Source organism: Homo sapiens, chromosome 1, assembly GCF_000001405.40.
Source record: "Homo sapiens chromosome 1, GRCh38.p14 Primary Assembly".
Lineage (NCBI taxonomy): Eukaryota > Metazoa > Chordata > Mammalia > Primates > Hominidae > Homo > Homo sapiens.
Genome location: NC_000001.11, coordinates 168,037,523 through 168,059,347, shown reverse-complemented (window position 1 = coordinate 168,059,347; position 21,825 = coordinate 168,037,523). Strand labels below are relative to the sequence as shown.

General features: G+C 34.3%; 1 protein-coding gene and 1 pseudogene across 25 annotated transcripts in view, besides 1 other annotated feature; one reads left to right on the top strand and one right to left on the bottom strand.

The window, feature by feature from the left end:
• DCAF6 (DDB1 and CUL4 associated factor 6) overlaps positions 1-21,825 on the bottom strand; it is a 212,261-nt gene that overhangs the window by 16,489 nt on the left and 173,947 nt on the right. For 14 of the 25 annotated variants that reach the window (NR_146229.2, NM_001349774.2, NM_001349778.2 and 11 more), the window contains 4 exons: positions 20,860-20,977; positions 16,208-16,323; positions 14,677-14,763; positions 14,121-14,448 (listed from right to left, as the gene is read on the bottom strand). Coding sequence is in view for 22 of the 25 variants with exons in the window: in NM_001349774.2 (NP_001336703.1) it covers positions 14,121-14,448; positions 14,677-14,763; positions 16,208-16,323; positions 20,860-20,977 (649 nt within the window). In the remaining 3 variants the exon portion in view is untranslated. Of the gene's footprint in view, positions 1-8,414; positions 8,457-14,120; positions 14,449-14,676; positions 14,764-16,207; positions 16,324-20,859; positions 20,978-21,825 lie in introns of all 25 variants that reach the window. The other 11 variants (XM_047425194.1, XM_017001779.3, NM_001198956.2 and 8 more) reach the window with 2 other exon arrangements.
• Positions 2,855-3,989, top strand: GCSHP5 (GCSH pseudogene 5; annotated as a pseudogene).
• Positions 2,982-3,482: an enhancer, noted in NCBI's record as "H3K27ac hESC enhancer chr1:168025104-168025604 (GRCh37/hg19 assembly coordinates)". NCBI's record gives its function as "activates a minimal SCP1, AML or CMV promoter by ChIP-STARR-seq in naive H9 embryonic stem cells {active_cell/tissue: H9 hESC(naive)}" and the evidence as "EXISTENCE:reporter gene assay evidence [ECO:0000049][PMID:30033119]".

Below are 21,825 nucleotides of genomic sequence, written 5' to 3'. Positions count from 1 at the left end.
TAGAAACAAATCTGTTTTATATAAATCTTTGTAATATGACATAGGTGGGATAGCAGATCACTGGGAAAATTCACCATTTCATAAATGTACAGGGGAAAAACTGGCTATCTAAATGGGGCAGGGAAAAGTTACACATATACATCATAAACAAAAATCAGTTCCAAATAAATTAGTAACTTAAATGTCAAAAGTAAAACTTCAAAAGGAAATTCAGATAAATTTTAAAATTCCAGATAAGAATTTTGTAAATAAAAGAAAGTGACAAGCATAAAAGATTGATAAAATTTAATGTGAAAATTAAAAATGGTTCATCAAAAAACAGCCTAAAAACAGTGAAAAAAATCATAAAATAGAAAAAATATTTGTACACTAATACACGATAGTGGATTAGTATCAAAAATGCATTAAGAACTCTTATAAATCAATAAGGAAAAGAAAAACAACTCAATTAAAACAACCCAGTAGAAAACCAGATCAGGACCGGGTGCAGTGGCTCATGCCTGTAATTCCAGCACTTTGGGAGGCCGAGGCAGGTGGATCACTTGAGGTTTAGGAGTTCAAGACCAGCCTGACTAACATGGTGAAACCCCATCTCTACTACAAATACAAAAATTAGCCGGGTGTGGTGGCATGCACCTGTAATCCCAGCTACCTGGGAGGCTAAGGCAGGAGAATCACTTGAACCTGGGAGGCAGAGGTTCCAGTGAACTGAGATCGTGCCACTGCACTCCAGCCTGGTGACAGCAAGACTCCATCTCAAAACAAACAAACAAACAAACAAAAAACCAGATCAGGAGATCAGGCTGAAAAACATGAGATGCATAATCTTATTTGTAAATTGGGCAATGAACATCAAGACCATATTATTGTTTACCAAATCAATTAGAAAAATCAAGATATGTGACAACAAGAATCAGTGATGTGAATAAACACGATTTTTAAAAAATATTGTTAGATATTATATTTAATTTACACTCCCACTTTGGAAAACAATTTTAAATTATTTTGTAAATGGTCCATTCCTTGGTATATACGCAAGAAAAACTGTTATCAGGAGAAATATTTCAGAATGCTCAAAGCAGCACTGTTAATACCAAAAACTAGAAATAACCTAAATGTCCATTAACAGGAAAATGGATAAACTGTGGTTTAGTCAAATATGGATTATTAGATAGCAGTAAAAATGATTGGGCAAGAGCTACATGTAACATGGATGAATCACAGTAAGATAATATCTGAGGAAAAAAAAGAGTCCCAGTCTTGTATACAGTATGACATCATTTTTATATAAAGTTCAAAAGTGGGTAAAACTTTATGTTTATATGTTTATGTTTTGTTTTTTAAAGCAAGGCATGATAACCATAACATTCAGGACACTGGTTACCACTGGCGTGGTAGGCAGATGGACAAAATAGGGTGAACAGGTAGATTTAAGTTACAGCGAGTTTTTTAGTTCTTGGATTGGTTGGTGGGCTCATGGGTATCTAAAGAAAGAAAGAAAAGGAGCCAAGTATGAACTAACAATGATAATGTGTCACAAACCAAGAATTATAAAAATACAATTCTCCCCTTCCTCAGGTTAGATTAGGGGTCCTTAATACTCTCAAAGCCCTGCAAAGCCCTGTCAATGCAATTACTGTATTGTAACTATGTATATGTGTCTGTGTATCCCACTGAACTGAGAGCTCAAGGAGGGTAGGCGTTGTGTTATCATTATCACCAGCACCCACCAGAGTATCTAGCACATAACAGGTTTATTGAAGTAACAAAATAATAGGTAAAAAATTGATTATCCAGCAATTTCAAAGCAATAATGAAACAGCTCAAAGTATCAATTATTATTCTATTTGGAAGAAACATTTAATGGAGGAAAAGAGTAAATCTGAAGGATGTACAACTAACCTAAGAAAATAAAACCTAGACTCCTGACTTTGTATTTTACTATTGCATATTCCAGAAAATCTGGAATCTTGGAGATAACTCCAAGGTTAAAGTATGAAGTTACATGAAGCAGAAACAGTCTATAAACCCGTTTTAAAAGTACTAGTCACATTTAGTAAAAAACTAGGCTAAAATATAAGCAGAAATTCATTAAATAGCACTAAAAAATATGAATTAATTTGCATACCATTTTCAAGATGGTAAACCCTTTCATAAAACACCATTACACATAGGTAGAATGGCACAAATTAACTGATATTATAGGTATTATTAAAATACCTTACAAGAGAACAAAGACTTTTTAGGGTGGAAAAAACAGCATAATCAAAGATTAGGAGAGGACCAGGAATGAAATGACTTAAGTAATTCAGTTACCAAACAAGGTTATTATATAAAGGATACTGTACCATGGATAGAATACAAGAACATGACTAGAATTATAGCTGGCGAATTTTGAATAAATCTGTAGAAAGAAATTCTTTACTGTGCAAAACACACAGTGAAAAACTAAAGGGAAATAAAAGCTTCTCCTAGTCCAGGTTTCTAAGGAACTCAATACTTGTCTAGAATGTAGTTAGAATAATCCAGAAGCAGAGCATTTCTAAAACTTGGGATTTTTGTAGGTATTCCACAAAATAGGCTTATGATAAAGTAAGTGTGGAAAATGATATACCAAACAAAGCTTAAAGAGGTTTCTTGCTGCAAGTCTTCTCAGAGGCTTTATTACGCTACAGGTTCTTGTGAATCTCACAAAGAGGTATACACAATGTAGTATTTCCCAAATTTTGTGACCACATTGTAGAGTATCAGAACACTTTGGACAACAGTGACCTTCATCTTCTTATTCTGTAATTAAATTATTCCATTCAAAAATAAATTGAGTGTGAATTTATTATTAAAAACTTAAGCCTGGGCCCCTCCCCGCCCCGCCTCCCGGCGCGGGTGGCCGAGGCGTAGCGCTGCGACCCCCGCACCCCTGCGAACATGGCGCTGCGAGTGGTGCGGAGCGTGCGGGCCCTGCTCTGCACCCTGCGCGCGGTCCCGTCACCCGCCGCGCCCTGCCCGCCGAGGCCCTGGCAGCTGGGGGTGGGCGCCGTCCGTACGCTACGCACTGGACCCGCTCTGCTCTCGGTGCGTAAATTCACAGAGAAACACGAATGGGTAACAACAGAAAATGGCATTGGAACAGTGGGAATCAGCAATTTTGCACAGGAAGCGTTGGGAGATGTTGTTTATTGTAGTCTCCCTGAAGTTGGGACAAAATTGAACAAACAAGATGAGTTTGGTGCTTTGGAAAGTGTGAAAGCTGCTAGTGAACTCTATTCTCCTTTATCAGGAGAAGTAACTGAAATTAATGAAGCTCTTGCAGAAAATCCAGGACTTGTAAACAAATCTTGTTATGAAGATGGTTGGCTGATCAAGATGACACTGAGTAACCCTTCAGAACTAGATGAACTTATGAGTGAAGAAGCATATGAGAAATACATAAAATCTATTGAGGAGTGAAAATGGAACTCCTAAATAAACTAGTATGAAATAACGCAAGCCAGCAGAGTTGTCTTAAATTAGTGGTGGATAGAAGACTTAGAATAGAAACTTTTAGTATTACCGATGGGGAAAAAAAAACTACTGTTAACACTGCTAATGAAAGAAAATGCCCTTTAACTTTCTAATGATTATAGATAAATATAATATGCGTCTTTTTCACAATATCCTATGATTTTTAGACTAGGCTCTAGTGTTCAGAATTCATGAAATTATCCATGGTAAAAACTAGTTATAAAAATTACATAATTCAAAGATAACATTGTTATTCTTAAGCCTTATATAATATTGTAACTTGCATGTATCCATACCTGGATTTGGGATGAAATACTTAATGATCTTTCCATTGGAAATAACTGGAAGTGAAGAGGTTTTGTTGCTTGTACAGTGTCAGATGAGGAACACCACTATCTTAATTTTGCGATACACTGCATTTGCTGGTGCTATTTTTATACAGTGAAGCAACAGCTTTGCAGCAAAATAATAAAATACTTCTTCGTTAAAAAAAAAAAAAAAAAAAAAAAAAAAAACTTAAGCCTGATTTTTTTCAATTCAAAGATTGAAGATCTAGGTTCTTACAAACATAGGATAGCTATCCTCACCACCATCTCCTTCAATAGAAGAGTTTCTGCAACAATTATTACATTTCTATATCTCTACTTTCATAGTAGCTATAAAACTTTTCTATAAGAATCAAAGTTACTGTGGGTATGTGTTAAAGACGCATTCCCCAGGCATAAATAAGAAAAAAGATATTAAAAGAATAAATTAAATTCCATGTATTTATGGTTCATTGGAAATGCTCATTATAATTCTGAATACCACTGTTCTTCAGTATATCAAGTTAAAAACCCCGTCTCTACTAAAAATACAAAAAACTAGCCGGGCATGGTGGCACATGCCTGTAGCCCCAGCTACTTGGGAGGCTGAGGCAGGAGAATTGCTTGAACCCAGCAGGCAGAGGTTGCAGTGAGCCGAGTTCACACCACTGCACTGCAGCCTGGGCAACAGAGTGAGACTCCGTCTCAAAAAAAAAAAAAAACCAAACCCGTATGTTCTTTTAATTTATACTATGTATACATTTTTCTTATATTAGCTTAGTAGTTCTTAGAAAAGAAAACCTCATTAATTTGAATCTTCTTATATGCAATCTGTGATTATTCAGACAGGGTGAAGCTGAAATTTACATTTAAATTATAAATTTTAAAATGTTTGCAGTCCAATTGAATCCTATAAGTAAGAGTCTAGAAAAAAGTTATTAAAAAATAAACATTTTAAGTGCTTTAAAACACACACTTGGTTTATAGTAAAAGCTATGTGCTATGGTTTGCATGTCCCCTCCAAAACTCATGGTGAAACTTAATCCCCAATGTGGCAGTACTGAGAGGTGGGGTCTTTAAAAGGTGATTGGATCATGAGGGCTCCACTCTCAAGAATGAATTAATTCACTTATAGATTAATAGGTTATCAGGTCAGTGGGGACTGGTGGCTTTATAAGAAGAGGAAGAGAAGCCTGAGCTTAGCCTTCTCATCATGTGATTTCCTGTGCCAGCTCGGGACTCTGCAGAGTCCTTGCCAGCAAGAAGGCTTGTACCATTGTGGCCCTTCAACCTTGGATTTCCCAGCCTCCGTAACTGTAAAAAATGCATTTCTTTTATTAATTACCCAGAAGATTTCTATCATAAGCAACAGGAAATGAACTAAGATACTATTAGTATGTTAGCGTTATCTAGCTTTATCAATAAAAAAGTTCTATATGTTAGAATTGCTGTCATTTCAACATATATCTTTACAAGTATCTGAAATAAGTGAGGGAGATGGGTTGCTAGAGAGTATCTTGCTGTTTCTGCTCCTTTGTGGGGGCAAGAAACTGGATTCTTTGCCTTACAATGTATTAGTAAATAAAGGTAAGGGATAGCAGGTCTGATGCTGCTATCTTTAGAAGGGTCTGCTTATGAGGCTGGCCCTTGGCTGGTGTCTGAGAACTTGACTTTTGGCATGTTACATTGCTCTGCCTGCCTGGGACACAACCCTGCGGGGCCAGCTTGCGTAAACTGCAAAAATAACATGATTTGTGGTGAACACCTACTTTCCTTCTGGGTCTGGAATTCAGGTGACTGTGGTTAGGCACACAGGCAGAGGTGCCTACATGACCAGACCCCAGTAAACACCCTGGATTTTGAGTTATAAGCAGGCTTCACCAGGGCAGAAAAACTACAGAAGTATTACTGTATTTTATTGGGAAGGGAGGTGCACATTCTGAAAGGGAGAACTTTGGAACACTGAGCCTGGATTCTTCCACTGTGTCTGATCTTTTTTCCTTGCCATAATAAATCATAGCCATGATTGAAGTGCCTTTGATTCTTTTGAGTCTTTGTAGCAAGCAATCAACTGTGTGGGGAGGCCGTGGGACCCCTGAAACAGTAATTCACTGGTTTCTCATTCAAGTTTTAGGAAGCAGAGAAAGAAAGCAAAAACCCATATCATGCAGGGAGATATGAATAAAAATTTAGTTAGCTAGAGTTTTTGACAAAAAGGTGTCTTTGCCAACTTTTATTTCTGTATGCATGTATGTATTACACTGTCCTTAAAGGTGCTTACATTCTTATATATGAAAACATACAAATATACAATGCACTGTGATAGGTAGTACAGTAGGTATATATAAGGGCCCATATTTTTGATTAGGGAATATATGGGCCAGGAAATGTAGCTTAAGATGATGTTGAAAGATGAGGTGACCCAAATGATGGTGATAGTGATAGGAGGTCTTTTCTGTTAGAGGGCTCAGAGTATGTAAAGATACGCTGACTTAAGGCAGCATAATGTATTCAGAGAACTCCAATAGTCCTCTGAATGTATTCAGTGACACTCCAAGTATGGCAATGTAGACAGCATGACCAATTTTTGGCAGCAGCTATAATATGAAGTGCCCTATATACCAGGCAAGGAAGCTGGGTTTGTTTCTTCTTTATATCATAAACAATGGAGAACTACTGAAAGCAGGAGTAGAAGGAGTTGGAGAACTCCCTCAGTACACCAGGTAAGAGGTGATGAGGTAATAAAAGTAGAATGAAGAATAGGGGATGACTACCATTTTATTTACTATTCAAAGAAATATGGTACCTATCATTCAGAATCTTAGCAGATTATAGTAGAACACATTCCCCATTGTAAGACAGTCCCTAATGAAGACTAGTCATAACGGGCAGTAGATATAAACATCTGTGATAATTTTATTTTTCTAATTTTGTCTATCTTAAGCAGAAGTTTACATTCTTTGAACATCTCTAATAGCTAAAAGGAGAAGCAGAACAAATGTGTGTTCACTGGCAGGAAAATACTGCCTTATAATTAGAAGTTTCCACCAGATAATCTCTACATAAGAAATAAAATGAAGTAGAGAAGAATGAGTCTCACCTCATTCACTCTACAGGGAGGTAACTGTTACATTTTCTGCTTTACCATTGTTTATCAGTTCATGATAATCTCTACTTTAGTGTTTCAGCTTTTCTAAAACTCAATTAAAGCATCATGGTACTTTATAGTTGCAATTTTCATTATAAAACCAGAAACCAGCTTTGCGTACTTGTGATAAAAAGTATAAATCAGGATATCAAAAAACTCTGAAGCAAATTCCATTTTATTGTCATACAATTAATCAGAAAGTGATAACTAGGCCAGATGCGGTGGCTCAAGCCTGTAATCCCAGCACTCTGGGAGGCCAACATGGGCAGATCACTTGATGTCAGTAGTTTGAGACCAGCCTGGCCAACATGGTGACCAACCCTGTCTCTACTAAAAACACAAAAATTAACTGGGCCTGGTGGGTGGGCGCCTGTAATCCCAGATACTCAGGAGGCTGAGGCGGGAAAATCACTTTAACTCTGGAGGCAGAGGTTGTAGTGGGCTGGGACTGCGCCACTGCACTACAGCCTGGGCAACAGAGCAAGGCTACATCTTGGGGAAAAAAAAAAAAAAAGAAAGTGATAACTAGTAATAATTTGAAAAAGTTATTTCAAATATACCTTAATGTTAAAACAGGCTAGAAACAACAGCACAAAACAAAACAAGTTTGAGAAGCAAAAACAAATTTGAGACTTGTAGATGAGAATCCTCCTGACAATGAACCATAACCAGAAATTTCCATACATCTATTATATTTTTTGGCTTATTTCATGACTTCTGTATTTTTCATTAGGAACTCTACAAACTTTACATTTCTGATTGTTGCTATATGTTTCATGTTCAACTGTTTTAGAAACTGATGGTAAATAACAGATATATGCCTCTAGAGTTAAGTACAAGGTTGATTTTGTCAGCAAAACAGGTTTTCAGTAGGTGACTGATGTCATTGAGGTTCACTTTAAAGATCTACTCAAAAATATGTCCCAAATAGAGAAGTGCTTGAGGCTTATATATCATCTTGATATGTGACACTATTTCTAAACTATTTATAAGGAAACAACTTTCTTGCAAAAATCAGAAACCTATACACAGATTTAGATTCAAGTACATTTTTAGTTATTGAGCTCAAGGAAAAGGAGCATATACGAATAACAAAAAGTTGGTAATTGTTATCCCAATCAAATTTAAAAAACATAAATTGCATTCTTCAACAAAATATCCAAAAAGAGTAACTGATACTTAAAGTACATCATTTCAGATTATAGTTACTTTGCCATATGACATATTTGAAGTGAACATCAGTCTGCACACAGGAAATTTCTTTTCATTCTATCCCCATGCAGTGCATGCAGCTAAATATAGTTTGTGGAAAGCGACCTGCTTTACAATGCTTAGCACTTAGAATTCAGTAAGTCCAAAGGGAGTATTAACTGTTAATAGGAAAGGTGGTTAGCTGTGGCAAAAGAAGACCTGGCAAATCCATCATAAAAAAAAAATTATGAAGGAACATACTGAATTACCTCATTATTCTATCACCTATTGTTGTTCCTCTGATATTAAATCTAGTGAAGGGAACACAATAACTGAAATCACTTACAAAGACTTCAAAGAACCAAATATTTAAAGCATTAAGGACACCCTTTTTATCATCAATCATCTCAATTTAAAAAAAAACTTTTGTTTCCCTTTGTGACTTCGGGCATTAAGCAAGGAATATGTCAGTCAACTAAATGTATATGAAGAAATTAAGGAAACAGAAACACTCATTGAAGCTAGAATAGAAGGAAGACATTGCACTTAATCCCTTTTATCTTTTAAATAAATCAGAACCCAATCCTGTCACAGTATGGGAAACTGCACTGGCTTATAATGAATACCATCCTCTGGAACACGTACATGCTCCTCAAAGCTGAGGAGCTCTTTGGAAAATAAATAATTAAGCCCTAAGCTAATTCACTTGGCCTAACCACAAGACTATATAACAAATGAGCAAAGAATAACAGGGCTTTTAACTCCCTAGGAGTCCAGTTCTTTCTCTTTGAGTACATCTTTTCTCTCTGCAATTTTCTTTAATAAAGAGTAAACTGCAATAATGAGAAATAAGGAAATCATGGTTACAATGATGACTGAATAAATGCTGCCAAATTTACAGTACAAGGAATTTTGGCTTTAAAAGTGAGGGCTATGCTCCATGGTCCAGAGTAGGTATATGGAACCAAATTTCTATGAAAATAACACTTTAAAAGTTATTAAAGGGCAATATAGGATAAATCACTCTTTAGGGAAAAAATTGTTAGATCATCCTAACTGAGGCTATAATTAAAAACTATTCAAGACTATGTGAGGACTTATTCAGGAAGCTTTCTTAGATGCTTGTTTTTTTTTTTCAGAGAGTAATTTAGGTTTTCTCTTGAGTTTAGAAACAGTAAGAGCTACCAATCAGGCCGTCAAATCACTTACAACAGATTTGGCATTGTAAAAAAAAAAAAAAATTATACAGCCTGGGTGCGGTGGCTCATGCCGGTAATCCCAGCACTTTGGGAGGCTGAGGCAGGCGGATCACGAGGTCAGGAGATCGAGATCATCCTGGCTAACACGGTGAAACCCCGTATCTACTAAAAATACAAAAAATTAGCTGGGCGTGGTGGCAGGCGCCTGTAGTCCCAGCTACTTGGGAGGCTGAGGCAGGAGAATGGCGTGAACCTGGGAGGCAGAGCTTGCAGTGAGCCAAGATTGCCCCACTGCACTCCAGCCTGGGTGAGGGAGCGAGACTCCGTCTCCAAAAAAAAAAAAAAAAAAAAAAAAAATTATATGCAGATTATCTAAACAGAGATCTCAACCACACTCTTTTCATTCCAAGGGCATATATTTACGTTTCTTAACCCAGTATATGGCCAGGCGCGGTGGCTCACGCCTATAGTCCCCCAGCACTTTGGGAGGCTGAGGCTTGAGGCCAGGAGTTCAAGACCAGCCTGGTCAACATAGTGAGACTGTCTCTTCTAAAAAAAAAAAAAAAAAAAAACAACAACAACAACAACAACAAATTAGCAGAGTGCAGCAACATGCACCTGTAATCCCAGCTACTTGGGAGACTGAGGGAGGAAGATCGCTTGAGCCCAGGAGTATGAGGTTGCAGTGAGCTATGATCATACCACTGCACTCCAGCCTGGGCAACAGGGCAAGACCCTGTCTCAAAAAAATAAAACAAAATGAAATAAATACAGTATATAAAATCACTAAAAGATACACATACTATTTTTTTGCTTTGTTTTGCTTTTTTCCTAAGTCAGACTTATTTTTGACATTAGGACTAATTTTATTTTTTTAAACACCATGATTAGAGAACAAACATTTCTTTCTGTCTTTTTTCAATTTATTTCCCATTTACTGTTCCATGTTCTTGCCTTACGCAAAGTTAAAGGGAACCCAAATATGTGGAGATTCATATTATTTCATTGTTTCAAAGTCTGGATTTTTGCCAGTAGAGGCATTTTACCACAGACTATAGTTTGATTTCTCTCTATAACACTGATTACTATAGAGCAGGTATTTGCAAGCTATGGCTCTTGGGCTAGATCTCCGCCAAATGCCGATTTTTGAAATGAACCTTAGGCTAAGAATAGTTTTTACATTTTTAAATGTTAATATTTTAAATGGTCATATAAGTACCTACCATAATGGTCTCCATTTTGTCTCCTGGCCAACAAAGCCAAAATATTTACTATATGGCTCTTTAGGAGTAAGTCTGCTGCTCTGCTATAGACTCCCAGTTACATTTACATAGACTTGCTGTAGTTAATGAGAAGAGCATTCCATTTAAAAATATCTATGTTAGTTGTTAAGGTCTTCATTTTCTAAGACATTTCCTTCTCATGCTTGATCTCAGCCCAAAAGTGAAAACCTGGGTCATTTATTTAACCAAATTATAAGAATGTAAATATTTTTTTAAAAATCATTACTCTGTATTGCAAGGAACTGTTCTGATATTTTCAGTAAATTTGTCAGAAATGACTTAGCTATAAAGCCTTTTAAAGTTTCCTTTTAAAAATTAAATTTGGAACAAAAACTGATGAGGTCCACTATATAGTTCTTCATATAAAGTACAGATCAAATTAAGTATACACTTGTATAATATTTAATTTTAGGACCACTTCTCTACCCCAGCTAAACTAATATTGACTGGGCTTTGCAAATGGCAGCATGGAGGGAACTTTAAGACATACATCCTTTTAGGTGGGCATTTCATCCATGTGTGCAATGTATCCTTGGACTCTAGGAACCAAATGGTATGATTGTTACAACAGAGCTTCACAACCCTTAGTCTCTTGGGAAACAGAAACTCTCCAAAATCATAGGACTAATTACAAGCTGGTAAGTGATTCTTTTCATGTTCTTAAGAAGCAAAATCTCTTAAACTTTCTCTCTTTAGAATAAAAGTCAGCTAAATTGAGAAGTAAGATAAACTGGCAGGAGTGTCAATGATGAAGAGCCCTTAGAAAGGTGCAGAAATATTAAAAGTATACTTTTTTACAGTTGTTCAAGATTAAATCAGGATGGTGCCAAAAAAGTTAAGAATTATAATAACCGATTTAGATAAAAGTCAGAGGAAATATTTACACCATTTACAAATTTTTGGTAAAGAGCTAGAAAATAATGCAAATCTCAAAGGAAAATTAATGTAATTGTTACTCTAATCACTTTCTAATTACCTCAGTATACACATCTTTTATATATATATACACACACACACATATATATATAATTGTATTTACTTTCATATATTAAATGTTTTCTATGTTCCTATAAATGGCTTCGGTATTCTCTCTTATTCATAAATAATTAAGTTTCTTGAAGGATAAGAATTTTATCGTTCTTCTGTTACTCTTCAGGAAGTTTACTACTATATCTTACAAAACAAAATACCATGTAGGACCAACATAGGCTAAATACTCAAATGAGTGTACAGAATATTAAATAATATTTAATTTTTAAAAAGCAGGGAACTAAATGTGATCCCAGAGTGGTTTCAAATCTGGATTTAACCATGAAAGTATGAATTCAAGAGTATATGCATGAAGTGGGATCAGTTCCAGGCTGTTTGTTGTCACTGATTATCTCTCTTCTAAAAGATTCTGCTAGTCTAGTTCAGCATCTGGGTTTCCTTGGGTCAATGAGGCTATTGGGAACCAACTTTGTGACAGATCTAAATGCTAAAAGAATCCCTAAAACATATAAATCATCTAAGTATTATGAAGATGATAAAGATCTATAGAAAGATTACAGTTTCTGTATTCTCTAGGACCCACCCTCCCTCAAATCCTCCTTTCTCATTAATGTTATAGTACTGTGTTTCAAAAAACAAAACTCCTTAGCTCTAGAATATACAAAACCCTTTGCTTAGCACCTAAGTTTCCTCAGCTATAAAGCAGGCTTGGTATTAAGTGTTATAATTAGCCTGCATAGAAGCTGCTAAATAGTTATGACTTTCTCAAAGTGTCTAATATCCATTAAAAACATTACTAGAAACTGGGCACTTAAATTTAATTTTCAATTATGACCTCCGTATCATGTTCTACTACTTAAATGTAGAAAAATAAGACATTAGCTCATTTATATAAATGGAAGGCCATAAATGTACAAGCTTAATTATAGAATCTAGCTCTCAACCCTGGGTTTTGGAAATTATCAGTTTGATTTTGGAAATTATCAGTTTGATTTTCAAATTGTGCTAAGCTTGCTAACCTCATCTGCATAAATTAAGTGGTAATGACATTCTAAGGAACTCCCTCTGGGTATGGAAAGAAATAGAACTAAGTCTTACTTGCCTAAAATATATACTAAGAATGCTCAAGATTACTGTGTACAGGTAAAGAGAAGATGTTTGATTAATCTCTAAGTATAAACATGGGAAATTCTTGCTTCATATCTACAAAAAAAGTGCCATGGCAAAGTAAACATTTCCCAAATATGACTAAAGAAAGAAACATACCCTTTCATAGTTAAGAAAAGGCAGTTCCCCTGAGCTGCAAGCTATCCTCTTCAGGATTTTTGCCTGTCTTCTTTCAGTCTTTATCCCTAGAGTCATTCTTACTGTAATTCTTTTAAAAATTAAAGTGGCCTCATAGACTATCTTGATTGTTTAATACAGCTATCATTTAATTAGTGCTATTAACATGAGCCAGGTCACATCATGATTGACTGATAGATTTTTTTAAAATTCTTACAATAATTTTAGATAATCATAACCCTATTTTATAGATAAGAAACTGAATCTTTAAGAGTCATTAAGTAATTTGAATGAAAAAACACTGCTGGTAAGTGGTGAAACCAGTATTCAAACCCATCATCATGCTCTTGACTATGAGTGGTAAATTAATCTTTCATTATATTTTTCAGTTGACAGATACTTTAGGGTATCTTATAAACAGCAATATATTGAGCATATAAAATGTGAAATATTTCAAATAGAATCTCACTCCTTTGTAAACTAGGATTTTAAGATTAAAACTAGGTTCTCTGAAAGAGGACAGAACTTACAATAAGATATGATAGCACTAATAATAGAAATAGTTTTCCATGAGTATGAAATGCAGTATACTTTAAAAATTTATTTTAACTCCCACAAAAGAAAATATATCCTTGTGATCACATAAAATATAGAAAAACTATAAAAACATGTTGGCAATTCAATTTTTTATTGCTGCTATGGTATTTATTTGGTATAATTTTTCATTTTCTAAATTCAGTCACTAAGTTTAGTAGAAATCAAAGAAAAACAGTGTTCCCAAAAACAGAACTACTAACACACTACCTTAATCCAGGGTCAATAGAAAAGCAGAAAAAATTAACATTAAAACCAAAACAACACTGATAAAGGCCTGGATATCTACAAGATAATCTGAGAGCTAAGTATAACCTTGACTTCATAAATAACCTGTGGGTCATTCTTAACATTCTTTTCTCTTGATCTGTAAATTCAGAAGCAAGCCTCAGTGCTAGAGATATGGAGAATGAAGACTTTTTATTTCCCTATTAATGCACAGTGCTCAAAGAATATAATACGTAAAATCATTTACAGTAAACTGTAAAGTTTCTTTAAGTTTATATGAATGAGACACTCTTAGAGGAAGCAACTGTCAAAAATGGAGAGATTCCCTTCAATGACTTCAAACAAATCCTTGTGAAATACATTTTTTACAGTTCATGTTAATTAAAAATTTACCAACCTATCACCAGGTCCTGCTCGATACCTTGCACCTGGGATCAGGACTGGGTCATCATCACTGTCATCTGTGTCCTGAAGAGCAGAGTCCCTGGTGGATGTTTCTTCATGAGCTGAAGGCCCAGTGGCTTCTGTTTGGAACTGAGGCTCAGGATTGGTGTTATTTTCATTGGTAGCACTCTCAGTGCTAGTCTGATCTGAAGTTTCTGGTTCCTTGGCTTTTTCAGATGAAGCAGATTCTTCTGGAACCCCACAAGAGCGATCAAGATTGAGGTCATTTCTTTCTCCTGAGTTGGAATCCAATGGCTTGGCTGTGAACTTATCTGATTGTGCTGTCAGAAAATAAAGTTGTATGTAACAGGTGGTAATGTGGGCAATACTAATTATTTAACCTAACTTAGGAGCTCACAAACACATTCTAATATGATGTCTAATTCCTCTATAAGGGGAGGAAACTTCCACAATACACTTGAACATGGCCTCTAACTATAGAGAGATTAACATAGATTAAGGCTTTTTATTTTCCCATACAAAGCAATTATCTAAAGGGAGCAACTCACTTATATTGATATGGTTCTCAACTGGGTTTTCTGCAGATACTCCTTCCTGATATTTTGTCACATCCTCTGATGATTCTTCAGGAGCTTCTGTAAGTAAACCAAATTACAGTCATCCCTTGGTATCCATGAGGGATTAGTTCTAAAATCGCTGAAAATACCAAAATCTGCAGCTCCTCAAGTCCCTCATATATAATGGCATAATATTTGCATATAACCTATGCATACCCTTCCTTATACTGTAAATTATCTCTATATTACTTATAATACCTAATGCAATGTAAATGCTATGTAAGCGGTTGCTACGCTGTTATTGTTTTTAAATCTATGTTCCTTTTTATTGTCATATTGTTATTTTGGGAGGGAGTATTTCCATGGAATCCATGGGCATGTAGGGCCAAATGTATCATTAAATCCAGATTTTTTTAGAAAAGTAAACATCAACTTAATACTCCAGCTTTCCTATGGATAAATGGTTCTTAACCCTTTCTGAGTCATAGGAACCTTTGACATTCAGCTAAAACCTCCCCTCAGTACAAGGCAAATATGTATTTGCACACAAAATTGTACAAACACTATCATGGACGGATGGGCCCACTGCTTCTTCCTGAAGCCCAGGAATTGAGCTTCATGAACTCTATGTGCAGAATCTCTGCTTTAGACTATCCCTTACAGCTGAAATTACCTGATCCTGCATTTTACTAACCTTCCCGAAATCTAAACTTAAAACTGAGCATTTTTCTGCCCCTCTATCATGTATTTGGTAAAATCTAAACTATCATGAACAAGTAGTTAAGCTGACCATACTATAAATTCTGTTTTGGCCACTGAAAATACTTAATTCTGGAATTTAACTGTCAGATGCATGAAGGATCAGTCTTTAATGTTCCTTACTGGACATTTGCTTACCAGATAGCTGTCTTACACATACTTAATTTTAAACTCTGTTATACTAAGGTACCTACACATTTATAAGAAATATAATTCATTTATTCCTTCATTAATCAAGCATTTATTGAACATCTACTGTGTTCTAGTCTCTGTGCTAGACATTAAATTTCATGTAATTGTCATATAAAAATATTCTATTAGAAAAGGGTTCTGAAAAATCCCTTAAGTGGCACTTCAGGTATTAAATAGATTCACTCGTAACTTGTTTAGATTCTATTCCTTTTTCCCCCTCTATAAACCACATATACAACCAAAACAAATACAGTGGATTTCATTGCTAGGTATAAAAATGATAAAGACTAATTCAAACTAACATTTATATCTCATCCATTTATAGTATGATGAACAACTATCCTGGCCACTGTGTCCACAAAGAGGATTGTGCTTCACTGTGTCTCCTCATTTTAACTGCTTAAGGTCCCCATCTTTTGGATTTGCTATCTATCAGTTTAACAGCTGGACTATAGAAGCAAAAGTAATTTATTAAAAACAAGAAACAAAATACAGCATCGAAGGGAACAGGAAAGTAGATAAACATCCAATGCTGCAATTTTATAACAACAAAAGCAAAATAACACCTTACTTGTTTCACTGTCTCCTTCTGGTGGTTGCACTGAGCTCTGTGGGACGAAAGATTCCTCCTGACCCTCAGATTTGCAATGGCTCCCAATTCCTCTAGAACTTGATGCTATACTGCTCCTATCATCAAAACAAGATAAGTGATTCCACCAAGAAGTTAATCAATATGATCTTTTAGGATTTTTATATTTTACAACTAGAAAGGTAGACCAAAAAATTCACAAGTAAAATGTAGGATTTATAATTTTAATAGCATTTGTAAACATCATTTCAAACAAATCAAGATGACTATCATAACACACTTTACTCTTGAAAAAAAATTCAAAAATATAAAGGGACTGCTTCTTCACTGTTTGGATCCTTTCATTATCTAGTATGTATTTCTACATGTCTCTCTATTGAATTTTAAGTGAACTACATTGTCTCCTTTCTTGTCTTCACTACAGATGGTTCACCATATCCAAAACCTTAATGGTTATACAGATTTTTATCATATGCCCTTCTAGACTCTGTTATTCCAGGCTACTTTAAAATTAGTATTTGAACAAAAGCCTGGCCAGTTCTTTGGTCTTTTGAACTGCTCCCTGTGGATCACTTCCAGTTCTGATCTGCTGTTCAAACATGGCAGGTGACTGAGCATCATAGTTCTGTAGAAGGACAGGGTAATATTTTCTGCTTCAGTTTTAATACTCACCTGATGATGACTATAGTTCTATTAGCATTTCTAGCTATAGCGGAATACGAGGCCAATTTTTAAAGAAATAATTTTCAATAAGTATTCTGTGACAAATCATGGCATATGTGTAACAAGAGGACTGAATGAGAAAGAGGACATGTATAACAATCTGACTGAGATTTAAATTAAGTTCATAGAAATGCAACAATTCTTTAAGTTTAAAATAAATGTGAACAAGAAAAAAAGTAAGATTTACAGTAACTTAAAAAAACATTAATTATAGACAAATACCAGTAACTCAATAAACAATACAAACGATCATGGACTTTTTGCCATGACAAAAACTCTTTTAGGCTGACTGCAGAAGTCAAATTGACTTTTTAAAAAAAAGAGAGTACATATATAATATTATTTAACTAAAACTGTATATTCATATGGGTGTATATATGCAGAGAAAAATGTCAGGAAGGCTATGCATCAGTGTTGAGTGTCATGTCAGTAGAATTACTGCAGGTAAATTTTTTATACTGAATTTGTGTGTGTGTGTGTGTGTGTGTGTGTGTGTGTGTGTGTGCGCGACAAACATGTATTTCTTTTAAACCAGAAAGGAATATATAGCTATTTTGGCAAAAAAAAGCTAAGGTGGTATATATATATTTATTTTTTCCATTGAGAAAGCTATGATTCAGGCATGAATAAAACGCTTAGTGTATACATTATAGTAATTAAAATATTATGGTACTGAGTAGGAATAGAGACATATTAGTGGAAAAGACACAGCAACCGAGTAAATATATTTAACATACGTTAATATGGCATTTTAAATCACACAGAAATAAAAAGATTATTCAATAAATGGTAATGAGACAAGAAAACAGCCATGTGGTAAAACCAAAGCTATGGCTTCACGTTATACTTTATGGGAAAATAAATTCTAGAAGGAATATACAGTTTTTGATACTAAATTATAGAAAATATGAGAGGAATATAAGAACCTTTTCCCTTAATTCTAGGAATAACAAGGCTTTCCTATGCATGCTATCACAGGCAGAAACCATAAGGCAAAACCACTGTAAGTAAACTGAAAAACAAACACCAAATTGGGAAAAATATTTGCAACAAATGAAAGACAAATGGTATAATCCTCATTTAATTCTATAATAAATAAATAGCTCTAATAACGCAATAAGAAAAAGATAAACACCATAGAAAACTGGGCAAAGTATCTGAAAGACAATTTACAAAAGATGAGAACTGTAGCTAACAATCAATGAGGGCCTTCTCAGGTGCCAATCAATGTGCTAGTAAGTGCTACGTACTTTCTCTGCATGATCTCATTAAATCTTCATACTAAACCTATGAAGTAGGTTCTATTAAACATGCCCGTTTTCAAGGGAGAAAACTGAGATTTAGAGAGATTCAAAAACTTGTCAATTTCAGTCCAAGCTCTTAGCATGTTCTATTGCCTCATCTGTTGCCAAAGAAACTAAAATAAAAGCAAGAGACAATCCTGATATAGATGAAAAAGTCTGTATACTTTTTTTTTTTAAGTTCTGCCTGTTTGGTTTTTTTTTTTTTTTTACAATGAATGTTGAATACTTGCATAATAATAAAAAATGCTAACTGCTTTTCTGACAAAGAAATAAGAAATTGATGAATGAGAATATAATTCATGGTCAGTTTTTAGAGAAGGAAAAGTAGCATTCAAAAGAAGAATGGGACTAATGATTTTCTCTAAAAAAAAAAAAAGCCCAAAAAGTTTAGATAAGATTCTTCAGAAGATGCCAGCTCCTTGTGTACAGAAACATGAGAATGGAAAAGACGTGATAAGTACGATGACCTACTGTCATCTTAAATTATGTATTAAGAAAAAGGGCCACAAACATCACAATTTTTAAATGGTCAGGCACTAAGACTTATAAAGTCCTACTGGCTGCACCTTCAAATATATATCTAGAATCCCATCACTTTTTTTTTTTTTAAACCACCTCCACTGCTCCCATCCTTGTCTAAGCCACCACCACCTCTCACCTTTCTTACTGCCATAGCTTTTTAACTGTTCTTCTGGTTTCTACTGATGGCATATGCTCAACACAATAACCAGAAATAACCTTTTCCTTTTAAATATCCTCCTCAATTTCCTGGCTGACCTTATCTACTACTCTTCTCTCCACTGGTCACTCCACTCCCGCTACACTGGTCTTCTTAAGATCCTTGAACATACTAGGTCTGATGCTTCTGCTTCAGAGTCTTTGTACTGGTTTTCTCTCTGCCCCAAATGCTCTTCCCCTAGATATAAATACGTGGCTCACTCCTTCTCACTCTTCAAGTGACATTTTGCCCAAATGTCACCTTCTCAATGATGCCTAGGTTTCCCAATCACTTTTACCTGCTCTATTTTCCTCCATTGTCCTTCTAACATACTATATGGTACACTTATTAATTATGTTTATAATAAACTTCCTCCATCTAGAATGTAAGTTCCAATAAGGCAGGGGTTTTAAGTACTTTATTTCACTGATGTATTTCCAATGTCTAGAATAGTCCCCGGAACATAGAAGATATCCAATAGTATTTTAAGATCCTACTTAATCAAATATTTTAATATAAAATACACACATACATAAACACAAATGGAAACCAGTGAATTTAAATAAAAGTAATATCACATATCAACATATAATTCATTACATATTAAGACAATACATAACTATATTATATTACATATATTATAGTAACAGATAACATGATCATATATTAATATACAATTAAATATTTAATATATTAATATATTAATATATTAATTATGAATAATTAATATATTGTCATTAAACAATTGGTATAATTATATATTAACAAATATTATACAACTATATTATATATTAAGAAATACTATATCAATATATTAACTAATAGATTACTATTCCTAAGTTTAAAAATTTTGTATGCTCTCTCATTCAAATGGTCATGAGATAGTGGGAAAGAGTATAAAAAGCTTACATAACTTGCTTTTCTCAAATGTAAAGTTTCATTAGATTAATGAGCAATAAATATGATCAGAAACATTATTAAAGAGAAGCTATATGACCATTAAATAAAGAAAAAGTTCAACCTTACTAATAATCAATTAAATACTAAAAGTATTTTTAAATCAAATATAGAAGTTAAAAATAAATAAATATATTGAACACTAGCCTGGAGACAGTAAATCGTATACTTCTACATGTGTCTAGTAGGACTATAGTAAGTAAAGATTCTTTTGGAAATAATTTGGCAATATCTTTTAATCTAGATATAGTTCATTTCAGAAATATCTCTCAAATAATCTTGAAGGCAGGAAAAGGCTTTATAAGCAAAGATATTCATTAAAGCCTTATTTGGTAAAAAATGGTAAACAAATTTACTGCCCAATTAAATGAAAATGGCTAAGTAAACTATAGAACATCTACTTGATGGACTATTACACAGCTAGTAAAATAATATTTATTAAAACTAAGTAGTAACATGGGAATATTTATTATAAAGTCAAACAAATGCAGGGGAGAATACAGTATATTTAGTATCACTAAAATTATATTCTAAAACTCAAAACAAAAATCATACATATACACCTACCTAGGACCACGACTGCAAAAAGTCCCAAAATGTTTATATTTTTGCACTAATTTTAATTATTATTATTAGTATTATCTTTTGCATTTTCTATCAGAAGAAATATTCTAGGATGAGCAGCACCGGCATCATCTGGAAAGTTTTTAAAAATGCAAATTCTCAGACCCCCACTCCAAACCTAATTCTGAGAGTGGGGTCCAGTAATATGCATCTTAACAAGCTCTCCCAGTGATTCTGAAGCACACTCAAGTTTGAAAACCAATACCTTATAGCAAAACAAAACATAAAGATGACGAAGTGTTAAAAATTAAAATCTAATACAATCCTACAAAATGGCTAAGAACATCTTTACAAAAATATTAACTTACCATTCATCTGTAAAGTTCAGTTTTATTGTGCTTGTAGTTGTTCCTTCTGTGCTGTAGTGCAAACTTAAAACTGGTTCACCTGTCCCTGGTTTGGGGCTCAGCTTTTCATTATTGTTATCTGAAAATTGTGTTTAAAACATTTGAAAAAGTCTCTGAAACCAGTAAAAAGATGACATTTCCTAAAATTTATAAAACTTATATTAGGTTGTCCTTGTCATAATTCTTTTTTCACATCTGTTATGGGTTTCATTTAAAGTTTGAAGGCATGTGTTGTGGAAATACTCTTTTATATTTCAAAGTAGCACTACATCAAGTTCTAGCTTTGTGTACATGACTCCCTTTGATTCAGATGGAAATCACACACATTGAGAACCATATTTAGTCATTAGGGGAATCAAAAAGTATTAACATGCAATGACATAGTTACAAACTGGTACCCTTATTTAATGGAATGCTCATAATTCCTCAGTTGCTTGAGCATCAATAAGAACTAATTTTGGCTCTTTCAGAAACACTGAGATGTAAGATACAAGGGCTCTGTGAAAAGCGGTTTGGCAAAAACTTTGCTGCAATGAAATGTTATCAAATTCCTTCTGTTCTTTCAAACTCACAGATCTATAATTTAGGGAGGAATCACAGTCTGCACCTGATGGAGAAGAGGGTGGTATTTATAGTGCTTTGATATTTTCTAAAATATACTTTGTTATATTTTGGTATATTTCCGTTTCTCTTCCTGACTAATCTTGCAAGGAATTTGTTTAATTGTGGAAACAGCAATTTCATTTTAAGAGCCTATAGATGATGTCTATAATACACATCTATCTCAATGTATGAAATCTTTTTTAAATGACAAAATCAAGAAAGCCTACACAAATTAATAGAGTATTTAAAGCTACCTTCCCCACCTGCCAAAAAAAAAGAGTACATGGATATGCAAAGACATAATTAAACAGAGCTTTACATATT